This window comes from Homo sapiens, chromosome 11, assembly GCF_000001405.40.
Source record: "Homo sapiens chromosome 11, GRCh38.p14 Primary Assembly".
Classification (NCBI taxonomy): Eukaryota; Metazoa; Chordata; class Mammalia; order Primates; family Hominidae; genus Homo; species Homo sapiens.
In genome coordinates this window covers 9297386-9320835 of record NC_000011.10, presented here as the reverse complement: position 1 = coordinate 9320835, position 23450 = coordinate 9297386, and the positions used below count along the sequence as shown (strand labels likewise).

General features: G+C 44.7%; 1 protein-coding gene and 1 pseudogene across 4 annotated transcripts in view, besides 6 other annotated features; both read left to right on the top strand.

The window, feature by feature from the left end:
• Window positions 436-1412: an enhancer, noted in NCBI's record as "OCT4-NANOG-H3K27ac hESC enhancer chr11:9340971-9341947 (GRCh37/hg19 assembly coordinates)". NCBI's record gives its function as "activates a minimal SCP1, AML or CMV promoter by ChIP-STARR-seq in primed H9 embryonic stem cells {active_cell/tissue: H9 hESC(primed)}" and the evidence as "EXISTENCE:reporter gene assay evidence [ECO:0000049][PMID:30033119]".
• Window positions 1413-2389: an enhancer, noted in NCBI's record as "OCT4-NANOG-H3K27ac-H3K4me1 hESC enhancer chr11:9339994-9340970 (GRCh37/hg19 assembly coordinates)". NCBI's record gives its function as "activates a minimal SCP1, AML or CMV promoter by ChIP-STARR-seq in naive and primed H9 embryonic stem cells {active_cell/tissue: H9 hESC(naive and primed)}" and the evidence as "EXISTENCE:reporter gene assay evidence [ECO:0000049][PMID:30033119]".
• Window positions 5904-6253: a silencer, noted in NCBI's record as "silent region_3124". NCBI's record gives its function as "represses an Ori minimal core promoter by ATAC-STARR-seq in GM12878 lymphoblastoid cells {active_cell/tissue: GM12878}" and the evidence as "EXISTENCE:reporter gene assay evidence [ECO:0000049][PMID:35858748]".
• Window positions 5904-6534: a biological region, named in NCBI's record as "NANOG-H3K27ac hESC enhancer GRCh37_chr11:9335849-9336364".
• Window positions 6019-6534: an enhancer, noted in NCBI's record as "NANOG-H3K27ac hESC enhancer chr11:9335849-9336364 (GRCh37/hg19 assembly coordinates)". NCBI's record gives its function as "activates a minimal SCP1, AML or CMV promoter by ChIP-STARR-seq in primed H9 embryonic stem cells {active_cell/tissue: H9 hESC(primed)}" and the evidence as "EXISTENCE:reporter gene assay evidence [ECO:0000049][PMID:30033119]".
• TMEM41B (transmembrane protein 41B) overlaps window positions 6243-23450 on the top strand; it is a 33940-nt gene continuing 16732 nt past the window's right edge. For all 4 annotated transcript variants that reach the window (NR_028491.3, NM_015012.4, XM_047426969.1 and 1 more), the window contains exons 1-2: window positions 6243-6515; window positions 21135-21252. Coding sequence is in view for 3 of the 4 variants with exons in the window: in NM_015012.4 (NP_055827.1) it covers window positions 6395-6515; window positions 21135-21252 (239 nt within the window). In the remaining variant the exon portion in view is untranslated. The remainder of the gene's footprint in view (window positions 6516-21134; window positions 21253-23450) is intronic.
• Window positions 6535-7052: an enhancer, noted in NCBI's record as "H3K27ac hESC enhancer chr11:9335331-9335848 (GRCh37/hg19 assembly coordinates)". NCBI's record gives its function as "activates a minimal SCP1, AML or CMV promoter by ChIP-STARR-seq in naive H9 embryonic stem cells {active_cell/tissue: H9 hESC(naive)}" and the evidence as "EXISTENCE:reporter gene assay evidence [ECO:0000049][PMID:30033119]".
• On the top strand, window positions 9094-9752 carry PRR13P2 (proline rich 13 pseudogene 2; annotated as a pseudogene).

Here is a 23450-nt window from a genome sequence, read left to right as displayed (position 1 = left end):
TCACGCCTGTAATCCCAGAATTTTGGGAGGCCGAGGCGGGCAGATCACTTGAGGTCAGGAGTTCGAGACCAACCTGGCCAACATGGTGAAACCTCATCTCTACTAAAAACACAAAAATTAGCCAGGTGTGGTGGCATTCACCTATTGTCCCAGCTACTTGGGAGGTTGAGGCAGGAGAATCGCTTGAGCCCGGGAGGCAGAGGGTGCAGTGAGCTGAGATCGCACCACTGTACTCCAGCCTGGGCAACAAAGCAAGACTCTGTCAAGAAAAAAAAAAACCCACAACAAAAACAATAAAACATAATCACACACCCACCAACCCCCTGACGGTTCCAGGAACAAATTTGGTATAAAAATGGGTGGCACCACATTTCTGAAAAATCCAGGAATTTTTCCAGGAATCTTCATGAATATCCCACCCTTTGGTTAAAGAAACCCAGAAAGGTAGAAATCCCAAACTCTATTGGGCGACTACTCTTTGAGTACACCTGCGCTCCCCTTTCTTCAGTGTGTACTTTTCACCTTGCAATAAGTCTCCGTACTTTCACTATTTTCTGACTCATCCTTGAATTCCTTCCTGCAATATCTAGAGCCTACACACTGGCTGGGGTTGTGGTCCCACTGGTATCACATTCAACCTCCTAAACCAGAAACTCTCCAAACACCTAGTGCCTCCCCTCTGACTAACATCTTTGTCTAAGGATATTAAGTGACACTAAATCCTCTAGATTCTACTTCTTTAACATTTTTTAATATCCCAGGAGGATAAATCCCAATATTACAATTATCTATGGATGGTGGTATTGTTACAGAAGGTAGCTAATCAGACATGAGAGGGCAGGAGAGGGCCTCTCCACTTCACCAGGAATGTCAGGTGACCATCAGTTGTTGGTCAGGTGGCCATTAAACTGCCTTCCTAAAACAATAATTGGTCGCAGCTGGCACCAGGGAAAGGCAGTCTCCCAACAAATAGAAAAAACCCTGAAACTGATGATTGGCAGCTTCTCGGTAACATCTCCGGCTCAAGTATGCACACTAAGAAGCAAAATGGCAGAATTTAAGTTGTGTATGACCTTCCTCTAGGAACACTGGACTGGTAAAGGAAAAACTGCCTCATGTGAGCATGTGTGCTATGGGGAAAAGAGAGATCAGATTGTTACTGTGTCTGCGTAGAAAGAAGTAGACATAAGAGACTCCATTTTGTTCTGTACTAAGAAAAATTCTTCTGCCTTGAGATGCTGTTAATCTGTAACCCTACCCCCAACCCTGTGCTCCCTAAGACATGTGCTGTGTCAACTCAGGGTTTAGTGGATCAAGGGCTGTGCAGGGTGTGCTTTGTTAAACAAATGCTTGAAGGCAGCATGCTTGTTAAGAGTCATCACCACTCCCTAATCTCAAGTACCCAGAGACACAATACCTCTGCCTAGGAAAACCAGATATTGTCCAAGGTTTCTCCCCATGTGATAGTCTGAAATACGGCCTCATGGGAAGGGAAAGACCTGATCGTCCCCCAGCCCGACACCCGTAAAGGGTCTGTGCTGAGGAGGATTAGTAAAAGAGGAAGGAACGCCTCTTTGCAGTTGAGATAAGAGGAAGGCTTCTGTCTCCTGCTGGTCCCTGGGCAATGGAATGTCTCGGTGTAAAGCCGATTGTATATTCCATCTACTGAGATAGGGGAAAACCACCTTAGGGCTGGAGTCGGGACATGCTGGCAGCAATACTGCTCCTTAAGGCATTGAAATGTTTATGTATATGCACATCAAAAGCACAGCACTTTTTTCTTTAGCTTGTTTATGATGCAGAGACATTTGTTCACGTGTTTACCTTCTGACCTTCTCTCCACTATTATCCTATTATCCTGCCACACCCGATAATGATCAATAAATACTAAGGGAACTCAGAGGCTGGTGCCGGCGTGGATCCTCCACATGCTGAACGCCAGTCCCCTGGGCCCCTTTTTCTTTCTCTATACTTGGTCTCTGTGTCTCTTTCTTTTCCAAGTCTCTCGTTCCACCTAATGAGAAATGCCCACAGGTGTGGAGGGGCAACCCACCCCTTCATGTGCAACTTCAGTAAAGACATTGTGCATGTAACCCCTCCCAAGTGCTGGCAGGCCACTGCACATGTGGACAGCCCATCCCAAGGGAAGAATCAGGGGAGAAATAACCCTGGGCCAATGTATAAGACCCCAAGTAAAGGTCAAACCGTGCACTTGATCTCTTAAGTCACCTGTTGGTCCTCTTCCAAGTGTACTTTGCTTCTTTTTATTCCTTCTCTAAAGCTTTTTAATAAACTTTCACTCCTCTAAGACTTGCCTTGGTTTCTCACTCTGCCTTATGCCCTTCGGTCGAATTCTTCTGAGGAAGCAAGAATTGAGGTTGCTACAGACCCGTACGGATTTGCTGCTGCTAACATATTAGACATGATTTTAATGTTTTTGTTTTTTCGAGGCAGGGTCTGGCTCTGTCACCCAGGCTACAGTGCGATGGCATGATCTTGGCCCACTGCAACCTCCACCTCCTGGGCTCAAGCCATTCTCCCACCTCAGCCTCCTGAGTAGGTGGGATTGCAGGCACCTGCCACCATGCCCGGCTTTTTTGTATTGTTTGTAGAGACAGGGTTTCACCATGTTGCTTAGGCTGGTCTCAAACCCCTGAGCCCAATCAATCCGCCCTCCTCAGCCTCCGAAAGTGCTGGGATCACAGGCATGACCCACCCTGCCTGGACTTAATGTTTTTCTGTCTGATAATTTGCTTTTTCAATATTTGTCTGGAGGCTGGGGCGTGGTGGCTCACGGCTGTAATCCCAGCACTGGGAGGCCGAGGTGGGCAGATCACCTGAGGTCGGGAGTTCGAGACCAGCCTGATCAACATGGAGAAACCCCCCTCTACTAAAAATACAAAATTAGCCGGGCGTGGTAGCACATGTCTGTAATCCCAGCTACTTGGGAGGCTGAGGCAGGAAAATCGCTTGAACTGGGAGGCGGAGGTTTCCGCGAGCCAAGATCATGCCATTGCACTCCAGCGTGGCAATAAGAGTGAAACTCCATCTCAAAAAAAAAAAAAATTTTGTCTGGAATGACTATGTATATATTCATGTAATTAAAGTAATAAAAGTTTAGAGATAGTTCTTCTCATACATAATCTTATATCTGGTATCTTCTTTTTGTCTCCAGTACACTATGCTAGGTCAGGCCAGGATTATTGCAGTAATCTCCTAACTTCTCTTTCTGCTGTTGATTTGGCACACTTCCATAAGGCGGTCAGAATAAGCTTTGAAAATTCAAATCTTTTTTTTGAGACGGAGTTTCACACTTGTTGCCCTGGCTGGAGTGCAATGGCACGATCCCAGCTCACTGGAACCTCTACCTCCCTGGTTCAAGCGATTCTCCTACCTCAGCCTCCCGGGTAGCTGGGATTACAGGCGCCCGCTGCCACGCCCAGCTTTTTTTTTTTTTTTTTTTTTTTTTTTTTTTTTTTTGAGATGGAGTCCTGCTCTGTCACCCAGGCTGGAGTGCAGTGTCGCGATCTCGGCTCAGTGCAAGCTCTGCCTCCTGGGTTCACACCATTCTCCTGCCTCAGCCTCCTGAGTAGCTGGGATTACAGGCGCCTGCCACCACGCCCGGATAATTCTTTGTATTTTTAGTAGAGACGGGGTTTCACCATATTAGCCAGGATGGTCTTGATCTCCCCACCTCGTGATCCGCCCACCTCGGCCTCCCAAAGTGCTGGGATTACAGGCGTGAGCCACCACACCCGGCCACACCCAGCTAATTTTTTGTACTTTTAGTAGAGACGGGTTTTCAAACTGGTCTTGAACTCCTGACCTCAGGTGATCCAACCATCTCAGCCTCCCAAAGTGCTGGGATTACAGGGGTGAGCCAATGTGCCCGGCCAAAAATACAAATCTTACTAAGTCCCTCTCTGGTTAAATATCTTTGAGGATTAAGTTCAAACTTTTAGCAGTTTGTGATAAGGTCCTGGTCTCATATCTTTCGTAGCATTTCTTTCCATTCTCCCACCCTTTGCTTGAAGCTTTTTTTCTAATATAAGCAGTAGCTTCTAGCCTTTGCAAAAGCTATTTTCTCTGCTTTCAACTTTGTTAATTCCTATTCATCCTCTAAAAATCAGTTTTAATCCTGCTTCCTGGGAGACTTTACAGCCCCACTGTAATTTAGATATTCCTCTCTTCTGCTATTGCAATCTGCGCACCCCTCAGTCACTCTTATCACACTGCACTGAGGTTGTTCATCTTTTCCTAATTTTTTGGAATTTCCTAAGTTTTGGAGTTGGCTTTCCCACTGCGCACTCAGATGTCTTAAGCACATTTAATTTTTTCTTCTGTGTGTTGATAATTCATATTCTTTGCCCATTTTTCTGTTGAGTTGTGCTTTCCTTACTGATTTGTAGTAATTCTTATGTGTCAAATACTTCTCAGTGTTTGTTTTTAGTTTTTGTTGTACTTCAATTTTTAATGTTTGCATAGTAAAATATATAAAATGTTTTCTTTTTTTTTTTTTTGACTTGAACTCCCGACCTCAAGGTGATCCGCCCACCTTGGTCTCCCAAAGTGCTGAAATTACAGGTGTAAGCCATGGCACCTGGCCCATAAATATAATTTCCTAAGATTGAAAATTTATTCGGCTGGGCACCATCTCAAAAAAAAAAATTATTCAACAAATTCATTGAATGGCCACTTAGGTATTGGCACTCTGTCAGCTACCGGGGATACAATGGTGATCAAAAAGACAAAGCCCAGCTGGGAGCCATAGCATGGAGCCTGTAGTCCCAGCTACTCAGAGGGCTGATGCTTGAGGATCCCTTGAGTCCAGAAGTTCAGATCCAGCCTGGACAATATAGTGAGATTCCCATCACTTAAAAAAACAAAAAACAAAAAGACAAAGCCCCTGCCTTAAAGCTTATATTCTAAAGGTGGAGGCAGACAATAAACAAGTAAACAAATAGTTCACAGAATTAATTGCTTTTAATGACTATGAAGGAAATAAAATGGGAGCCAGAAGTAGGCAAAGGATGTGTACATAAAACAGTTCAATTGAATGGGTTTCCCATAATTTACTTAACCATTTTTATTTAGTGTTGGATTTTTATATTGCTTTTAGTTTTTCACTGTTATACTAATACAGAGGAATTATTTATGTTTATTTTCATGGAATAATTTCCTACAAATGTAATTACTGAATAGAAACAATCAGGATTTTTTTTTTTTTTTTTTGGGACGGAGTCTTGCTTTGTGGTCTATGCTGGAGTGCAGCGGTGCAATTTCTCACCGCAACCTCAGCCTCCGGGGTTCAAGCGATTCTCCTGACTCACACTCTCGAGTAGCTGGGATTACAAGCCATCATGTCCAGCTCATTTTTGTATTTTTAGCAGAGACGGGGTCTCATCTCACCATTTTGGCCAGTCTGGCCTCACACTCCTGGTCTCAAATGATCCGCCCGCCTTGGCCTCCCAAAGTGTTGGGATTACAGGCTTGAGCCACCGCGACCGGCCTCTAAGTTGCTTTCAAGAGGTAACCACGGTGAGTAAGCTGAATGTGCTCTGAGGGGTAGAAGCAGAAAAAGTTACCTGTGGAAAAGGCATGTTTCCGCTTAGCTTAGGGATAAGCTAAATGTAGAGCTGACTTGGGTTTAGTAGTAAGGGGCAGCAGCTAATGCAAAACCGTTAGCTTTGGGAACAGGACAACCTGGATTCTAAGCCCATTTTTGCCATCCTGTGATCTTCACAGGTTGTACGTAGCCCTCTCTGAGCCTTAGTTTCCTGAAATTCAGGTAGGTTTTGCTCAACCTTTGTATTTCCCACCATCTTTTAGATCAAGCACTCTCTGGCGCCTCCAAATTGAAGACAGCAGCTGCGGAATTGATGTAATGGGCTGAATCAGCCTCAGCCGCGAAATGCCGACTAATCACAGGCACCTCCGGCGGCCTGGACAAAAGGTTTGAAGTCCCTGGGACCGCACTTCCGGGTAATTAAGGCTACGCTTTAGACGCCAGGGCCAGCGAGTCGCAGCCGGGTGACTCGAGTGCCGCGACTGCGCATGCTCTCGCCCCAGCGCCCGGCGGCCACCTCTTTCCCGCGGGCGGGCCGGGGCGGGGCACTGAAGGGGGCGGTCCAGGACCCTGACTTGTCTCGCGGTTACTGGGCCGGCGCGAGCACGCGAGGCTCGGGGGCGGCACGGGGCGGGGTTTAGCCTGTGGTGGGCGCTGCGGGTGTTTGCAGGAGGTTGCAGTACTCGCTGGGCTGAGGTCGTCTCGGGTGAGGAGGTCGCGCCGGAAGTGGCTCTAGCCGTGGCGCTTCGGCGTAGTAAGGAGCCTGCAACAGAGTTTTGTTGTTTAGGGGGCGCGGCACCGCACCGCTCCCTTCACCTTGCAGCAGCCATGGCGAAAGGCAGAGTCGCCGAACGATCGCAGTTGGGCGCTCACCACACGACCCCCGTGGGGGACGGGGCAGCGGGGACGCGGGGTCTCGCGGCGCCTGGCAGCAGAGACCACCAGAAGGGTGAGTGGGCCCGGGGAGCAGAGCTGGGGGTGGCCCGAGGCTTCTGTGTGTCGGGTGGGGAAAAGGACCCCCGCTATTCTCGGAGAGTCGCGGGGAAAGAGGGGGGCCTGCTGGCGCCGCGGCGGGAGCAGAGACCGTGGGGGAGTTGGGCTTGGGCGCTCGCGCAGCACAAGGCCGGACGCCGAGTAGGTGCGTTGTAAATGCTGTTTGAGTAGAATTCATTTAAAAGAAGGGATGACACTGGCTTGTTGACGCTCAGGTAGATTGTAAGGTTGATGATAACGACGCTAGGCAGAGCTGGAAGGAGCTGTACTGTGGCATTCGCTGCGTTGTTTTTACAGATGAAGAAACTGAGGCCCAGTGTGGGTATATGACTTATAAAGTCATAAAGCCAGATCAGTGAAGTAGTAGTTAGGAGCGAGGACTTAATACTTCCAGGTGGCAGTACACCTGGGCTTGAGTCCCTGCCCTACTGTTTACTTGGAACCTTGGACTTGGTAACTTTCAAAAAAAGCTCAGTGTCTGAACTGTGAAATGGGGATAATAATAATATCTACTTAATAGGTGGTGCGTGGGTTAAACGAAATAATTCACGTAAAAGATTTAGAGCAATGCTTGGATATGAAGTGGGGGCTAAATAAATATTAGCAATTACTTAGTTACAGCTAAGGTCACTCATTCTAAAGTTTATTTCCCCACTACATCATCCTGACATTTCTCACGGCTTTATTTTTGGTTTTTGTTTTCTCTTTATTCCTACTGCCTCTATAATTGCAGAATCTCACGGCTTTAAATATTGTTTTAAGGAAAAAACTGTACGTAGAAACTAAATACTTTGATTCCGTGTTGGCCTGGAATCGTTCTTTAAATGATTTTAAAGCTCATAAACTTAAAGTGATCCTAACAAGTTTGTCTGTAGCTCACATAGGTGTGTTCCACCACCAGTGATGGCTAGGAGAACTTCTAAGAGTATGTAGTAGAAAATGTTAATGTATTTTCAAATAATTTAAAATGTCTCCAACAGTCTAATTTGGCTCTGTCAGCCTTATGTTTTTGGGTATTTTTCCAGCTTATATACACTGGATCCAGGTGACTTCATATAATTTCAAAAACTGAGAAATGAATCGTTGTTAATGTATAAATCAGCTCTGAATAAAAGAAAGATTGTTTTGAAGACTCTACTACTGAGGGTGACAATATTCCAAGGTCTGGGTTTCCTGAAAAAGTGTTCCAGATAGGGCATCCCTAAAAATTGACATCTCATTTGAGGTAGCAGCCAGTTGTATTCATGATTTTTACCTAAAGCTATTCAAAAAATAAAACCTTGAAACTTCCAAAGTGCTCTTACTTTTTAATCTTATTTTATCATTACAACAAAACATTCAACACAATTATTCTTTTTTTTTTTTTTTTTTTTGAGACGGAGTCTCGGTCTGTCACCCAGGCTGGAGTGCAGTGGCGCAATCTTGGCTCACTGCAAGCTCCGCCTCCTGGGTTCACGCCATTCTCCTGCCTCAGCCTCCCGAGTAGCTGGGACTACAGGCGCCCACCACCACGCCGGGCTAATTTTTGTATTTTTAGTAGAGATGGGGTTTCACCTTGTTAGCCAGGATGGTCTCGATCTCCTGACCTGTTGATCCGCCCGCCTCGGCCTCCCAAAGTGCTGGGATTACAGGCGTGAGCCACCACGCCTGGCCTACAATTATTCTTATGATGCTGTCCCATGACATCTATAGATCACAAATCTATAGGAAGACAGGGAAGAGATGTGAAGGCGTGCCTTCACTTCATGATGAAGTAAGGCCTGTTTTTAGTGACTTGAGACAAGGCCTCGCTGTGTCACCTATGCTGGAGTGCAGTGGCATGATCATAGCTTGCTGCAGCCTCAGCTACCTGGGCTCATGCGATCTTCCCACCTCAGCCCCCTCAAATAGCTGACTACAGGTGTGTGCCACCATGCTCAGCTAATTATTTGTTTTTTGTAGAGAAGGGGCCAGGGTGTCTTGAAGTCCTGGGCTCAAGCGTCTTCCTGCCTTGGCCTCCCCAAATGCTGGAATTACAGGCATGAGCCATTGTGCTTTGCCAGATAAGTAAGGTTTGGATAAGTAAAGAGAAGGGAAGGGTATTCCAGGCTAGGAGAAAGAGAGTAGTAGGGTTGAAGGTTAGTGTGAAACTTTTATGTGTGTGGGTAGGGAGATTAATTTGTCAGGAGCAGAGGGTTTCTGTTGGGTGGTAGTAGGCGATGAGGTTGGCCTGTTCAGGATGTGTCAGAATGTTCCTGTAAATTCCATGATACTTGGAAATGAATTTGTATTCTATTAAGTGACACATATATAACTTTGACAAATAAGTAGTTATCATCATATGTATGTTTGAACTGTTTTACATGCTATCTGCAATGTTTGGTACATTTAGTGGATTCCTTGCCATTACTCTGGCCTCTAGTCTCAGAGCTAAGCCTAGTAGACTGTGGACCACTTTGACTACTTGAGTAAGGCAGAGGTAACACGGAAAGTCTAATTTTTGCATGATGAAGATGAGAGAGCAGACAGGAGGTGAAACTAGTTAAGAAGCTCTTGAGAATGCATCAAGCCCAGGCAGCAGTGGAAAGGCTGGAGGACACACCTAAACATGTGGAATCCCAGTGCCAGGCAGCCAGGGCCAAATCCATATCCACCCAACATTGGGTGCCCTGGAGGTTCCAATCCTGCCCACTCACCACCTATCAACCCACCCTTTCCCCCAGGCCCCTGTCCTCCTCCCCCAGGAGCTCCGCAAGGCAATTCAGCTTTCCCCCCAGGTTGGCCCCCTCATCCTGTGCCACAGCCAGGGTATCCAGGATGCCAATCCTCGGGTCCCTACCCTCCTCCATACCCACCGTCTGCTCCTGGAATGCCTCCTGTGAGTCCCTTGGCTCCTGGCATGGTTGGACCAGCAGTGATAGTGGGCAAGAAGATACAGAAGAAAATGAAGAAAGCTCATAAAAAGATGCACAAGCATAGCAAGCATTCCTCCTCCTCTTCCAGCAGTGATTCTGACTGAATACAGGCCCTGGGTCCTTCCCTCAAGTCTCACCAGTTCTGCTCTCCTATCAAGCTTCAGATGCCATGTTGTATTGGGGGAAAGTAGCCCTTGTGCTCCCCACACCCTACCCCCGCCTGAGCTTCACCCTGCTGTTGAGCCCTGAGTGGCTAGGGAAAATGGGAAGAGAATTGGCATGGCCTGGCCATCTTGTTGTTGCTTGGATAGATCATATAGCTAATGAGTTTAGCAGGGGAGCTGTTTTTTGAAGATGATGAACTAAATGTTGAAGACAAGTTTGAGATCTGTAAAATGTGATTTTTTACTTCTGCTTATAATACTCATGATTGGGGAGGATTGTGGAAATTTAATTATGATGAAAAACCTCTATCTTTTTTGTAATGTTGGCATACTTGGGGAATTTAGTGGAAAATACATTCCCCAGCAGGCCTTTTGTTGGTTGCACTAACTGCAAGGTTGCTGGGAAGTAGAGTCTGTTTGGTCGATGAGCTTTGACTGCCATTTTGGAACCTTACCTCTCCTCCTTAGCCCAGTATGCTATCTCAGGTCCTATTCTTGTTCTCCAGCTCTCAGTCCAAATAAAGTTATTTCTCCTGGTTAAAAAAAAAAAAAAAAAAAAAAAAGGGCTCTTAACCTAATCGGTTTGAAGGTGACTGGACTAGAGTACATAACTTTTTTGGTGGTGTTTGCCCCGACCTATGTATTTACTAGCAAGTTCTCCATTTTAACTTAAGAGAGCTGGACTATGTTTTTCAATATATAAGTCATGACCCTTGTGAGGGGTGTGAAATCAATTTGATGGATAATCAATAATAAGCATTTTTTTAAAAAAAATGGAATAGAAGAGAAAATATCAGTGCTTTGGGATTAAATGCTGGTTTTTTTTTGTTTAATCTTTCCTTGAGTTATATAGATTTTGTGTATACCGGGTCATGTACATTACTTAGGCTGACATGGTGGCTCATGCCTGTAATCCCAGCACTTTGGGAGGCCGAGGCGGGCGGAACATGAGGTCAGGAGTTCAAGACCAGCCTGACTAACATGAAGAAGCCCTGTCTCTACTAAAAATACAAAAATTAGCTGGGCATGGTGGTGCACACCTGTAATCCCAGCTACTTGGGAGGCTGAGGCAGGAGAATCACTTGAACCCAGGAGGTGGAGTTTGCAGTGAGCCAAGATAGCGCCACTGCACTCCAGTCTGGGTGATAGAGTGAGACTCCATCTCAAAAAAAAATAATAATAATAATAATACATTACTTGGAACACAATCAAAAAAGATTGAAAAACACTGTCTCAAAGTTGATTTTATTGCTTCTAGAAAACAATATTTTTTTTTGTTCTTTTGTTTTTTTTTTTGAGATGGAGTCTTGCTCTGTCACCCAGGCTGGAGTGCAGTGGTGCGATCTTGGCTCACTTGCAACCTCCCCTTCCCGGGTTCACGCCATTCTCCTGCCTCAGCCTCCCAAGTAGCTGGGACTACAGGCACCCACCACCACGCCTGGCTAATTTTTTGTATTTTTAGTAGAGATGGGGTTTCACCATGTTAGCCAGGATGGTCTCGATCTCCTGACCTTGTGATCTGCCTGCCTCAGCCTCCCAAAGTGCTGGGATTACAGGTGTAAGCCACTGCGCCTGGCTGACAATATTGTTCTGACTTGGATAATCCAGATCCCTGGTCTAGATCCTGCCTTGCTATTTGTTTAACAAATACTCCTCAGGTGTCTACTATGAGCAAAGTACTGGCTTACAGAAAGAAGGAAGCTCTGATTACTGTAGATGAAATCTAAGACTAGACTTGGCAGCTGAATATCAACCAAAGCATTAGTATGGTTTGCTGATGTCAGTCTCAACCCAGGTATTATGTATCAGAATTTTTTTGGTCTACGACAGAAAACCCACTGGAACCCTTGCTGAAAGGGAGCTTATTGGTCCATGTAAGTAAATCAAGTAATGAGTAGGATTTGGTGGCATCAGGCTGGAGCCAGTTGCTCAGCATCTTCAGGATCAGATTTTTCTTTCTTTCTTTTTTTTTGAAATGGAGTTTCACTCTTTTTGCCCAGGCTGGAGTGCAATGGTGCGATCTTGGCTCACCACAACCTCCACCTCCCAGATTCAAGCGATTCTCCGCCTCAGCCTCCCCAGTAGCCGGGATTACAGGCACACGTCACCACGCCCAGCTAATTTTGTATTTTTAGTAGAGACGGGTTATCTCTGTGTTGGCCAGGCTGGTCTTGAACTCCTGACCTCCAGTAATTCACCCGCCTTGGCCTCCCAAAGTGCTGGGATTATAGGTGTTAGCCCCACGCCCGGCCAGGATCAGATTTTTCATATCTTGATTTGCTTATTTGATGTCAGCTTAACCTTAAGTTTGGTTCCCCTTGAAGCTTCAGGTAAGCTAAATGCTTCCATGTTAATTTTGAGAATCTTTGTCCTAGTATTACGGATGAAGTCTTGCTATTCACTGATTAGATTGCCTCAGATCAGATGCTTTTTCCTGAACCTATCATTATTGTCAGTAGGTCATCAGAGTAACCTGATTGGCTCAGCCTGATTCATATTCTACATGTAGAAGAAAGAGTAGGAATAGAGCTAAATCAGTTTTCCCAATGACATGGATTTCTGTGATGGATCACTCAGTGATTTTTCTGTATTTGTGCTAAACCATTGTGATGTAGGAAGGAAGAAAGTGAATTTGTAGTGCTGATTTTTGGTTAGGTGGCTATAAGGAAAGAATAAGGATTTCAGTCAAAGGTGCTAGTTCAGATGATACTTCTTGGAGTCCAGGCTGGCATGGAAGGAAGAGAATGAAGAGTCCAACAGAAGGGAGAAAATGGAAGAAGTAAGCTCATGGAAGAAAAAGGCAAGGAATGGAATATTTTATTTAGCAAGTTCTCCATCTTAATGATTTATTGATTTAAAATGTCCAAGGTTGGCCAGGTGCGGTGTCTTGCTCTGTTGCCCAGGCTGGAGTGCAGTGGCGTGATCTCAGCTCACTGCAACCCCCATCTCCCAGGTTCAAGTGATTCTCATGCCTCAGCCTCCCCAGTAGCTGGGATTACAGGCGCATACCACCACGCCCAACTAATTTTTGTATTTTTAGTAGAGGGTTTTACCATGTTGGCCAGTGTGGTCTGGAACTCCTGACTTCAAGTGATGTGTCCACCTCAGCCTCCCAAAGTGCTGGGATTACATGTGTGAGCCACTGTGTCTCGCCTCTGTTGTGTTTTTAAAAAATGATTTTAAGGCTGGGCGCGGTGGCTCACGCCTGTAATCCCAGCACTTTGGGAGGCCGAGGTGGGCGGATCACGAGGTCAGGAGATCCAGACCACGGTGAAACCCCGTCTCTACTAAAAATACAAAAAATTAGCCGGGAGAGGTGGCGGGTGGTGCCTGTAGTCCCAGCTACTTGGGAGGCTGAGGCAGGAGAATGGCGTGAACCTGGGAGGCGGAGCTTGCAGCGAGCCGAGATTGCGCCACTGCACTCCAGCCTGGGTGACAGAGCAAGACTCGAAATAAAATTAAAAAAATGATTTTATTGGCTGGGCACAGTGGCTCATGCCTGTAATCCTAGCACTTTGGGAGGCTGAGGCAGGCAGATCACCTGAGGTCGGGAGTCTGAGACCAGCCTGACCAACATGGAGAAACCCCATCTTTACTAAAAATACAAAATTAGCCGGACGTGGTGGCCCACGCCTGTAATCCCAGCTACTTGGGAGGCTAAGGCAGGAGAATTGCTTGAACCTGGGAGACGGAGGTTGTGGTAAGCCAAGATCAAGCCATTGCACTCCAGCTTGGGCAACAAGAGAAACTCGATCTCAAAAAAAAAAAAAGATTTTATTTTATGATACTTCAGCTGTTTAAATTTATACTTGATGTTAATACCATTTTCAATTAATTTTTTTAATAGTTTAAGACCGTTGAAATAAAGTTTATTTCTGACAATATTACAGTGGATTCTTGTGACCTTAAGAGACTTGTTGGCCTGTAAGCTTATGTCCTTAGGATAAATGGATTTTTTTTCCTTCGTTCGTGGTGGGATCAAGTATATCTAGAAAACACTGAATATTGAAAACTAATGGACTAGATGACCAGTGTGAGTCATTCCTAAGATCTCGTAGACATTGGAATATTTTGCTTTGTAAAAGTAGTAGGAGAATTATGGAGCTACTGGAGGGACATTAAGGTTAAATTATTTTTCAGGATGGATTTATGCATATTGGAAGTTAAAGGAAAGGTACTTGTAAGAGGGAAAAATTGAAGATGTTGAGTATATGGAGAAAGAATTCAGAGAGCAAGATATAGAAGGAAGTGTGTTGACATTTAATGATAAGATGAAGGGAAAGGAGCAAGGGAAGATAATTTTGTGAACAAATCTTGAGGGAGAGATTGGGGTGCTCATTAAAGTAGGAGGCAGCATCATTGGTTGCAGTTAAAGGAAGGTAAAATCAAAGGCTTAAAGTGACTTGAAATAGCTCTTTTGGGGACTGCTATAAAAGAATTACTGTTTGCCAGTGATATCCCTAACTGAAGTTAGAAAAACATGTTGAACGTCTTGTAGGCCAAGAGCGTGATTCTGGCTTTCTTTTTTTTTTTGAGACGGAGTCTCGCTCTATCGCCCAGGCTAGAGTGCGGTGGCGCCATCTCAGCTCACTGCAAGCTCCGCCTCCCGGGTTAATGCCGATTTCCTGCCTCAGCATCCTGAGTAGCTGGGACTACAGGCGCCCGCCACTGTGCCCGGCTAATTTTTTTTGTATTTTTTTAGTAGAGACGGGGTTTCACCGTGTTAGCCAGGATGGTCTCGATCTCCTGACCTCATGATCCGACCGCCTCGACCTCCCAAAGTGCTGGGATTACAGGCGTGAGCCGCCATGCCCGGCGAATTCTGGCTTTCTATAACAGTACCTTTGGCCTGGGAGGAGGTTGGAAAAGCACATAATAGGGTAATTCAGACTGGGAATTAGTATGATGGAAGCTTTGGAGGTTACTAAATACAGAGTACTGGCTGGGCGTGGTGGCTCCCGCCTGTAATCCTAGCACTTTGGGAGGTTGAGGTGGGCGGATTACCTGAGGTCAGGGGTTCGAGACCAGCCTGGCCAACATGGTGAAACCCCGTCTCTACTAAAAATACAAAAATTAGCTGGGGGTGGTGGCCCATGCCTGTAATCCCAGTTGCTTGGGAGGCTGAGGCAGGAGAATGGCTTGAACCCAGGAGGTGGAGGTTGCAGTGAGCCGAGATCACACCACTGCACTCCAGCCTGGGTGATAGAGCAGGACTCTGTCTCAAAAAAAAAAAAAAAAAGAAAAGTGCTGGTGTAAGTAGCTGTAAATGCTAAAAGGCACATGTGTGTAATGTGGCCATAAGGCACATTATAAATGTGTATACTATAAATTTAGATGTAGACCTATAAAAACAAGATTTGGTAGACTCTGTCTACCAAAAAGAAAAAAAAATTAGTAATGGTTTTGAAGGTTTTAAAAGATGCTCATAATATGAAATTATTTTTGTTAGTTTTTCTTATACTCTGGACCTGATTCTAGCAGGAAAGTAAGTTAAAACTGGGCTGGGGCAAGTTAATTGGATTTAAAAGTAGCATACTTTTAGATGGATTTAAAAGTAGCATACCTTTAAGAAGTGTATGATGTGAAGTGTGCCTCCAAAACAGTTTAATATCTATAATTCATCTATAATTAATATCTGTTGCCCAGGCTGGAGTGCAATGGCGCAACTTTGGCTCACCACAACCTCCACCTCCCAGGTTCCAGCAATTCTTGTGCCTTAGCCTCCCCAGTGGCTGGGACTACAGGGGTGTGCCACCACGCCTGACTAATTTTTTATATTTTTAGTAGAGACAGGGTTTCACTATGTTGGCTAGGCTGGTCTCGAACCCTTGACCTCAGGCAATCTGCCCACCGTGGCCTTCCAAAGTGCTGCGATTACAGGAGTGAGCCACGACACCTGGCCTATAATTATAAATTATCATAATGGACATCCTGAAAAAATATACACTACTTGCATGTATAATGTGTCTTTGCTTTGATGTCAGCCTACAGAAAACTCAATACTTATATATATATATTACCCTCATTCCTTACCTACTTTATTGAATAGCTTTTTATTGAATAAAAATATATAGAAAAATAACTATTTTAGCCTTGTGAAAACGGTTTGTGTTTAAATAGGTTTTCTAGCCCGGTTCTATGGCTCATACCAGTAATCCCAGCACTTTGGGAGGCTGAGGCAGGAGGACTGCTTGAAGCCAGGAGTTCAAGACCAGCCTGGGCAAAATAGTGAGACCTGGTCTCTAAATACAAAACCAAAAAATTGCTGGGCGTGGTGGCTCACGCCTGTAATTCCAGCACTTTGGTAGGCCAAGGGGGGCAGATCACGAGGTTAAGAGATCAAGACCATCCTGGCCAACATGGTGAAACCCCATCTCTACTAAAAATACAAAAATTATCTGGGCATGGTGGCGTGTGCCTGTAGTCCCAGCTACTTGGGAGATTGAGGCAGGAAAATTGCTTGAACCCAGGAGGCGGAGGTTGTAGTGAGCCAGGATCACGCCACTGCACTCCAGGCTGGTGACAGAGTGAGACTCCATCTCAAAAAAAAAAAATTAATTAATTAATTAAGCAGACATGGTCACAAACACCTGTGGTCCCAGCTAGTCAGGAGGCTGAGGCAGGAGGATTGAAGCTGAAGGCATTCAACTCCCAGGAGTTGAAGGCTGCAGTGAGCTATGATTTCACCACTGCACTCCAGCCTGGGCAACAGAGTGAGACACCGTCTCATAAAAGTAAATAAATAATAAATAAATGGGGTTTATATTTATAAACCAAAACAACGTTTTTTATTCAATTGGATTTAGTACACCCTGATGTTTTTGCTTTTTGCTGATTATGCTTTCTTTTTTTAGAGAATATAACTTCTGAGTGAATATAACTTATTAGGAGGCCTCAAGATACGTATTGAATTAGGTAATAGCCAGAGCATAAATGTAATGACAGTTAGGTATTTGTTATTACAAGATTCTGCAGAGACCTTTTCATGTTTGACCTACCTGAGATGTTTAAAGTGTGTTTTTAATTCTCTGTGTTCCAAAAAAGCATACATATCAATACGTCTGTGGGTTAATGAACTAGAGTATTAAGAGACAGGCATTCTTGGTTTATTGTTCCATCAGAAGGTACCTTTGTACTATATTATTATCCTCTTCCTTCCTGCAGTAAATTTCATAAGTAAGAGTTGAGCAAATCTCCTTTTTGAGATTAAGATGAAATATAACAAAGTTAGAATAACAGGGACTGATTGGAGGCCGGGCGTGGTGGCTCACGCCTGTAATCCTAACACTTTGGGAGGCCAAAGTGGGCGGATCACCTGACGTCAGGAGTTCGAGACCAGCCTGGCCAACAATGTGAAACTCCGTTTCTACTAAAAATACAAAAATTAGTTGATCCTCGTGGCGTGTGCCTGTAATCCCAGCTACTCCAGAGGCTGAGATGGGAGAATGGCTTGAACCTGGGAGGCAGAGGTTGCAGTGAGCTGAGATCCTGTCACTGCACTCCAGACTGGGCGACAGAGGCTGGGCCACAGAGCAAGACTCTGTCTCAAAAAAAAAAAAAAAAAAAAAGAAAAAGAATAATAGGGACTAGTTGGGAAGTTAGATTGTTTAGATTACTGAAAGTAGGAAAAGATAATTTAGTTTTTTATAGAAAACTTGCTAAATTTAATGAATAGGTAAGAATAATTTATATTTAGTATTATCAAAGCACTAACCTAAGCAATTCTTATTTCAACAGAAATTACAGGTAAATTATAAACAGATATTAAAATGCTTTGCAGACTGGGCACACTCATTCACGCCTATAATCCCTGCACTTTGGTAGGCCGAGGTGGGCAGATCACCTGAGGTCAGGAGTTCAAGACCAGCCTGGCTAACATGGTGAAACCCCCATCTCTACTAAAAATATAAAAATTAGCTGGGTGTGGTAGCACACGTCTGTAATCCCGGCTACTTGGGAGGCTGAGGCAAGGGAATCACTTGGACCAGCCTGGCCAATATGGTGAAACCCCGTCTCTACTAAAAATACAAAAAAAATTAGCCAGTGTGGTGGCACATGCCTGTAATCCCAGCTACTTGGGAGGCTGAGGCAGGAGAATTGCTTGAACCTGGGAGGTGGAGGTTGCAGTGAGCCGAGATCGTGCCACTGCAGTCCAGCCTGGGCAACAGAGCGAGACTCCTTCTCAGACAACAACAACAAAATGCTTTGGAAATACACTTCACATTATTTGGTTCCTTTTAGAGATAGGGTCTCACTGTGTTGCCCAGGCCGGAATCAAAGTTCTGTGCTTAAGTGATCCTCCTGACTGAGTTTCTTGAGTAGTTGGGACTATAGGTGTACACCACCACCACTCTGGCTCAGGATTTTTTTTTAAAAAATAGTATACCCTTCTTCTTTGGGCCTCTTACTTGTAAAAGTGGGCCAGATTTTAGCTTTTCAAACTTTAATGTGCATGAAGATCACGAGTATCATTAAAATGCAGATTTTTGCTTCAGTGGGAATCTGAATTTCCAGCAAGCTTCCTGATAATGCTGATTCATATAGTCTACCAAACATTCTTTGAATAGCAAGGAGCTAGTTGGTTTCTATTTCTCTATGTGTTCAACATAGAATTTAGTAATATCTAGTCAGGGCTCAGTGTTACATGCCTGTAGTGCCAGCTACTTGAGGGGCTGAAGTAGGAGGATTGCTGGAGCCCAGGAGTTCAAGTCCAGCCTCGGCAACATAGGGAGACCCTGTCTCTTGCGGGGGTAAAAAAATCAGCAAAATCTTACTAATGCCAATTGTTGTAGTGAGACAAGGGATAAAAATGAAGCTCATCTTTTATTTAGTCAAGACTTTTTGGTTGAAAGGAATAGACATCAGTTTAAACTAGGAAAAAAGGAAGATTGTTAAAACAAGAGAAAAATAATGCCGGGCGCTATGGCTCACGCCTGTAATCCCAGCACTTTGGGAGGCCGAGGCGGGTGGATCACAAGATCAGGAGATAAGACCATCCTGGCTAACATGGTGAAACCCCATCCCTACTAAAAATACAAAAAAAAATTAGCCGGGCATCGTGGCAGGTGTCTGTAGTTCTAGCTACTCGGGAGGCTGAGGCAGGAGAATGGCGTGAACCCGGGAGGCGGAGGTTGCAGTGAGCTGAGATTGTGCCACTGCACTCCAGCCTGGGCGACTGAGCAGGACTCCGTCTCAAAAAAAAAAAAAAAAACCGAGAAAAATAATATAAGAGAGAATCTCAACTGGCATTTATGAGCAAGAAATAGAGCTAGGCATTGGGGAAGTGGAACGTTAGAAATCAGCAAGTAGCTTAGCTATATTTCCCAATTCTGCTTCTCTGGGTTTCTGTTCCAACCTTTCTTGTTTTCTGATACATGTCTTCGGCGTACCACTTTGGCTTACTGTGTCCTCCACCATTTAACCTTTTAGCTCCAAGTCCCACTATCGCTTGACAACCAGTATCTCTTTTAGTTCAAATTATCAAGAGAAAATCTGGTCAGCCAGTAATGATTTGTTACTACTTGGGTGAGGTGTCCAACCCTGGGCCAGACAGTTTTCTGGGTTTGGGAGGGTAGAATGTTAGAATAGGGGCTACTGAGATTGGCCCCCTTATGGGACAGGGGAAGGGTGTTAATTCAAGAGAAGGGAGATGGGGCAGAGCAGCAATGACAGCTGTCTAATACACATTTGTAAACTTTTATGAAGAAGGATTTGCTAAAGAGAGTATAGGCAGTTCAGTACTTTTAGGATACTTCATAAACGCGTGTTTGAAAGCCACCTGTGCAATAGTTGAATCCATTCTAAGGGAACTAAAAATAATAAATCTGAATTATAGTATACATTTTTTTTAGGCTGGGGTGCAGTGGTGCGATCTTGGCTCACTGCAAGCTCCGCCTCCCAGGTTCATGCCATTCTCCTGCCCCAGCCTCCCAAGTAGCTGGGACTACAGGCGCCCACCACCATGCCCAGCTAATTTTTTGTATTTTTAGTAGAGATGGGGGTTCACCGTGTTAGCCAGGATGGTCTCAATCTCCTGACCTTGTGATCCGCCCACCTCGGCCTCCCAAAGTGCTGGGATTACAGGCGTGGGCCATCATGCCGGGCCATATAGTATACATATTTTTAAATACTCTTGAGTATTATCAGTGTATACAAGGGATAATGGTAAAATAAAAATTGAGTCACCCACTCCTACCTCTTCCCCAGTGAGTGCAATGTAAAGTTGTCCTGGCCTTCGCGCTATTGACCAGTTCCTGGGAAAACAGTCCCGTACTTTCTTCTGCTTACTGCTTCTGGAATCTCATTCCATACTTTTATTGTTAATATAATTTTTTTTTTTTTGAGACGGAATCTTGCTTTGTCGCCCAGGCTGTAGTGCAGTGGTGCGATCTCAGCACACTGCAAGCTCTGCCTCCCGGGTTCACACCATTCTCCTGCCTCAGCCTCCCGAGTAGCTGGGACTACAGGCGCCTGCCACCATGCCCAGCTAATTTTTTGTATTTTTAGTAGAGACGGGGTTTCACCATGTTAGCCAGGATGGTCTCGATCTCCTGACCTCATGATCTGCCCGCTTCGGCCTCCCAAAGTGCTGGGATTACAGGCGTGAGCCACCGCGCCTGGCCTCGTTCATATAATTTTTTAAGCTAATACTGAGATTACCTTTTGAGGGACTATAAATATTCTCCCATTGTTGGAGTTGCAGAGGTACCCAAAACATTTGAGATTCAAGTTTATATTCCGATGCATTTGGTATAAAGAGAAAGTATAACATTTCACCAGTTGCATTTGTGAATATTTATGTTCTTAAAACAGGTGAAGTAATTGCCAAATTACCTCATTTTTCCAAAGGGGCCATTTTGTCTATGCTGTTGGCTCCCAGTATAGAAATATGAAATTGACAGTATGATAAAATTTAGAGCATTTAGAACAATGTTCTTTTTTTCCCCTTTGGCTTATCAATAAACCAATGCTACAGAGTCTGGTGTTCTGCTTTTTCATACTTCTAAAATGGATATATCCCCCCAAAGTAATATATCCAGTTATTAAACTTCAAGTACTGTACAGTGCTTAAATATAATTAATTATTGTTTTTATTTTTTTAGACGAAGTTTTGCTCTTGTTGCCCAGGCTGGAGTGCAATGGCTCTATCTCCACTCACCGCAACCTCTACCTCCCAAATTTAAGTGATTCTCCTGCCTCAGCCTCCCGAATAGCTGGGATTACAGGCATGCACCACCATGCCCAGCTAATTTTGTATTTTTAGTAGAGACGGAGTTTCTCCATGTTGGTGAGGTTGGTCTCGAACTCCCAACCTCAAGTGATCTACCTGCCTCGGCTTCCCAAAGTGCTGGGATTACAGGCGTGAGTCACTGTGCCCGGCCCAGTGCTTAAATTTAATGTCACATCATTTTAGGCAAAAGCACACGCCATTTTCTGGAAGGAAAGCATGTACAGAAATTATTTGCTAGCATGTCTTCCTTTATATTTATCTTAATTATACTTTCTTTTTTCTTCCAGAAAAATCCTGGGTAGAAGCTGGATCAGCAAGAATGTCACTCCTTATATTGGTGTCCATTTTCTTATCTGCAGCTTTTGTTATGTTTTTGGTATATAAAAATTTTCCTCAGCTTAGTGAGTAAGTATACTGAGAGATAAACTGAAAATGTATAGATATTTATAAGATGAAAGTGGATTAAGGCCAAGTGCAGTAGCTGATGCCTGTAATCTCAACACTTTGGGAGGCCGAGGTGGGTGGATTGGTTGAGTCCAGGAGTGCGAGACCAGCCTGGGCAACACGGCAAAACCCATGTGGAAATACATACATCTATATGTGTGTGTGTATATGTATATTTAATATATTTATATACACACACGTGTGTGTGTGTGTGTGTGTATGTATGTATATATACTTTCTTTTTTTTTTTTTTTTTTTTTTTGAGACAGAGTCTTGCCCTGTCACCCAGGCTGGAATGCAGTGGCGTGATCTCAGCTCACTGTATAAGCCCTGCTTCCCAGGTTCAAGCAGTTCTCCTGCCTCAGCCTCTCGAGTAGCTGGGATTATAGGGGTGGGCCACCACACCCAGCTAATTTTTGTATTTTTAGTAGAGACGGGGTTTCACCATGTTGGCCAGGCTGGTCTTGAACTCCTGACCTCAGGTGATCCACCTGCCTCGGCCTCCCAAAGTGCTGGGATTATAGGCTTGAGCCACTGTGCCCAGCCTGGAAATATATTTTAGAAGGGCAAAATATCCCAGAGCTATTAAACCCTAGTAATACCACCCTGGTATAATCATAGATTATATGAAGGACTACTAAGATGTAGTTAGACTTTCAACCAGGGCCAGCCTGATGTGGTAATGGAGAACTGTGAAATGTGATATCAAAGTATCAGGAAGGTCATGTTTTCTCCAAATTGCCTTCCTTCACAATTTTTTTTTTTTTTTCTTCATTTGAGATAGTTTCACTCTATCGCCCAGGCTGGAGTAAGTGGTGTTGATTTTGGCTTACTGTGATCTCTGCCTCCTCTCCTGAGTTGAAGGATTTTTGTGCCTCAGTCCCCTGAGTAGTTGGGATTATAGATGTGTGCCACCACGGCTGGCTAATTTTTGTATTTTTAGTAGAGATGGGGTTTTAAACCTGTTGGCCAGGCTGGTCCCAAACTCCTGGCCTCAAGTGATCTGCCCACCTTGTCCTCCCAAAGTACTAGGATTACAGGCGTGAGCCACTGTGCCCAGCCCACAATTTTTTTTTTTTTTTTTTGAGACTGAGTTTTGAGATAGTTGCCCAGGCTGGAGTGCAATGGTGCCATCTCAGCCCACTGCAACCTCCACCTCCTGGGTTCAAGCGATTCTCCTGCCTCAGTCTCACGAGTAGCTGGAATTACAGGTGTGCACCACCACACCCGGCTAATTTTTGTATTTTTAGTAGAGATGCGGTTTTGCCATGTTGGCCAAGCTGGTCTTGAACTCCTGGCCTCATGTGATCTGCCCACCTTGACCTCCCAAAGTGCTGGGATTACAGGCATGAGCCACTGTGCCCAGCCTAGAGTCTTTTTAGTTTTATAAATTTCATAAGTAGGAACCTTTAGTTTACTGGGTATCTTACTGGACTTGAGAAAGAGGGGCTCACACCTCTTTTTTTTTTTTTTTTTTTTTTGAGGCAGGGTCTTGCTCTGTTACCCAGGCTGAAGTGTAGTGGCACAGTTATGGCTCACTGCAGCCTCAACCTCCTGGGCTGAAATGATCCCCTACCTCAGTTTCCCGAGTAGGTAGGAGTACAGGCATGCACCACTATGCTCTGCTAGTTCTTTAATTTTTTGTAGAGACAGGGTGGGTGCTGGGATTACAGGTGTGAGCCACTGTTCCCAGCCATAGGTCAGTTAAATTTTTTTTGTCATGTAAACAAATGAGGACTCAGGCCTTTAGTCCTAGCACTTTGGGAGGATCACTTGAATCCAGGAGTTTGAGAACAGCCTGGGTCACATAGCGAGACCCCATCTGTATAAAAAACTTTATTTATTTATTTTTTTGAGACAGAGTCTCACTCTGTCGCCCAGGCTGGAGTGCCGTGGTGCAATCTTGGCTTACTGCAGCCCCCACCTCCCAGTTCAAGCGATTCTCCTGCCTCAGGCTCCCAAGTAGTTGGGACTGTAGATGTATGCCACCATGCCCAGCTAATTTTTGTATTTTTAGTAGAGATGGGGTTTCACTGTGCTGCCCAGGCTGATCTTGAACTCCTGACCTCGTGATCCACCCATCTCGGCCTGCCAAAGTGCTGGGATTACAGGCCTAGGCCACTGCGCCCAGCCTATAAAAAATTTTGAAATTAGCAGAG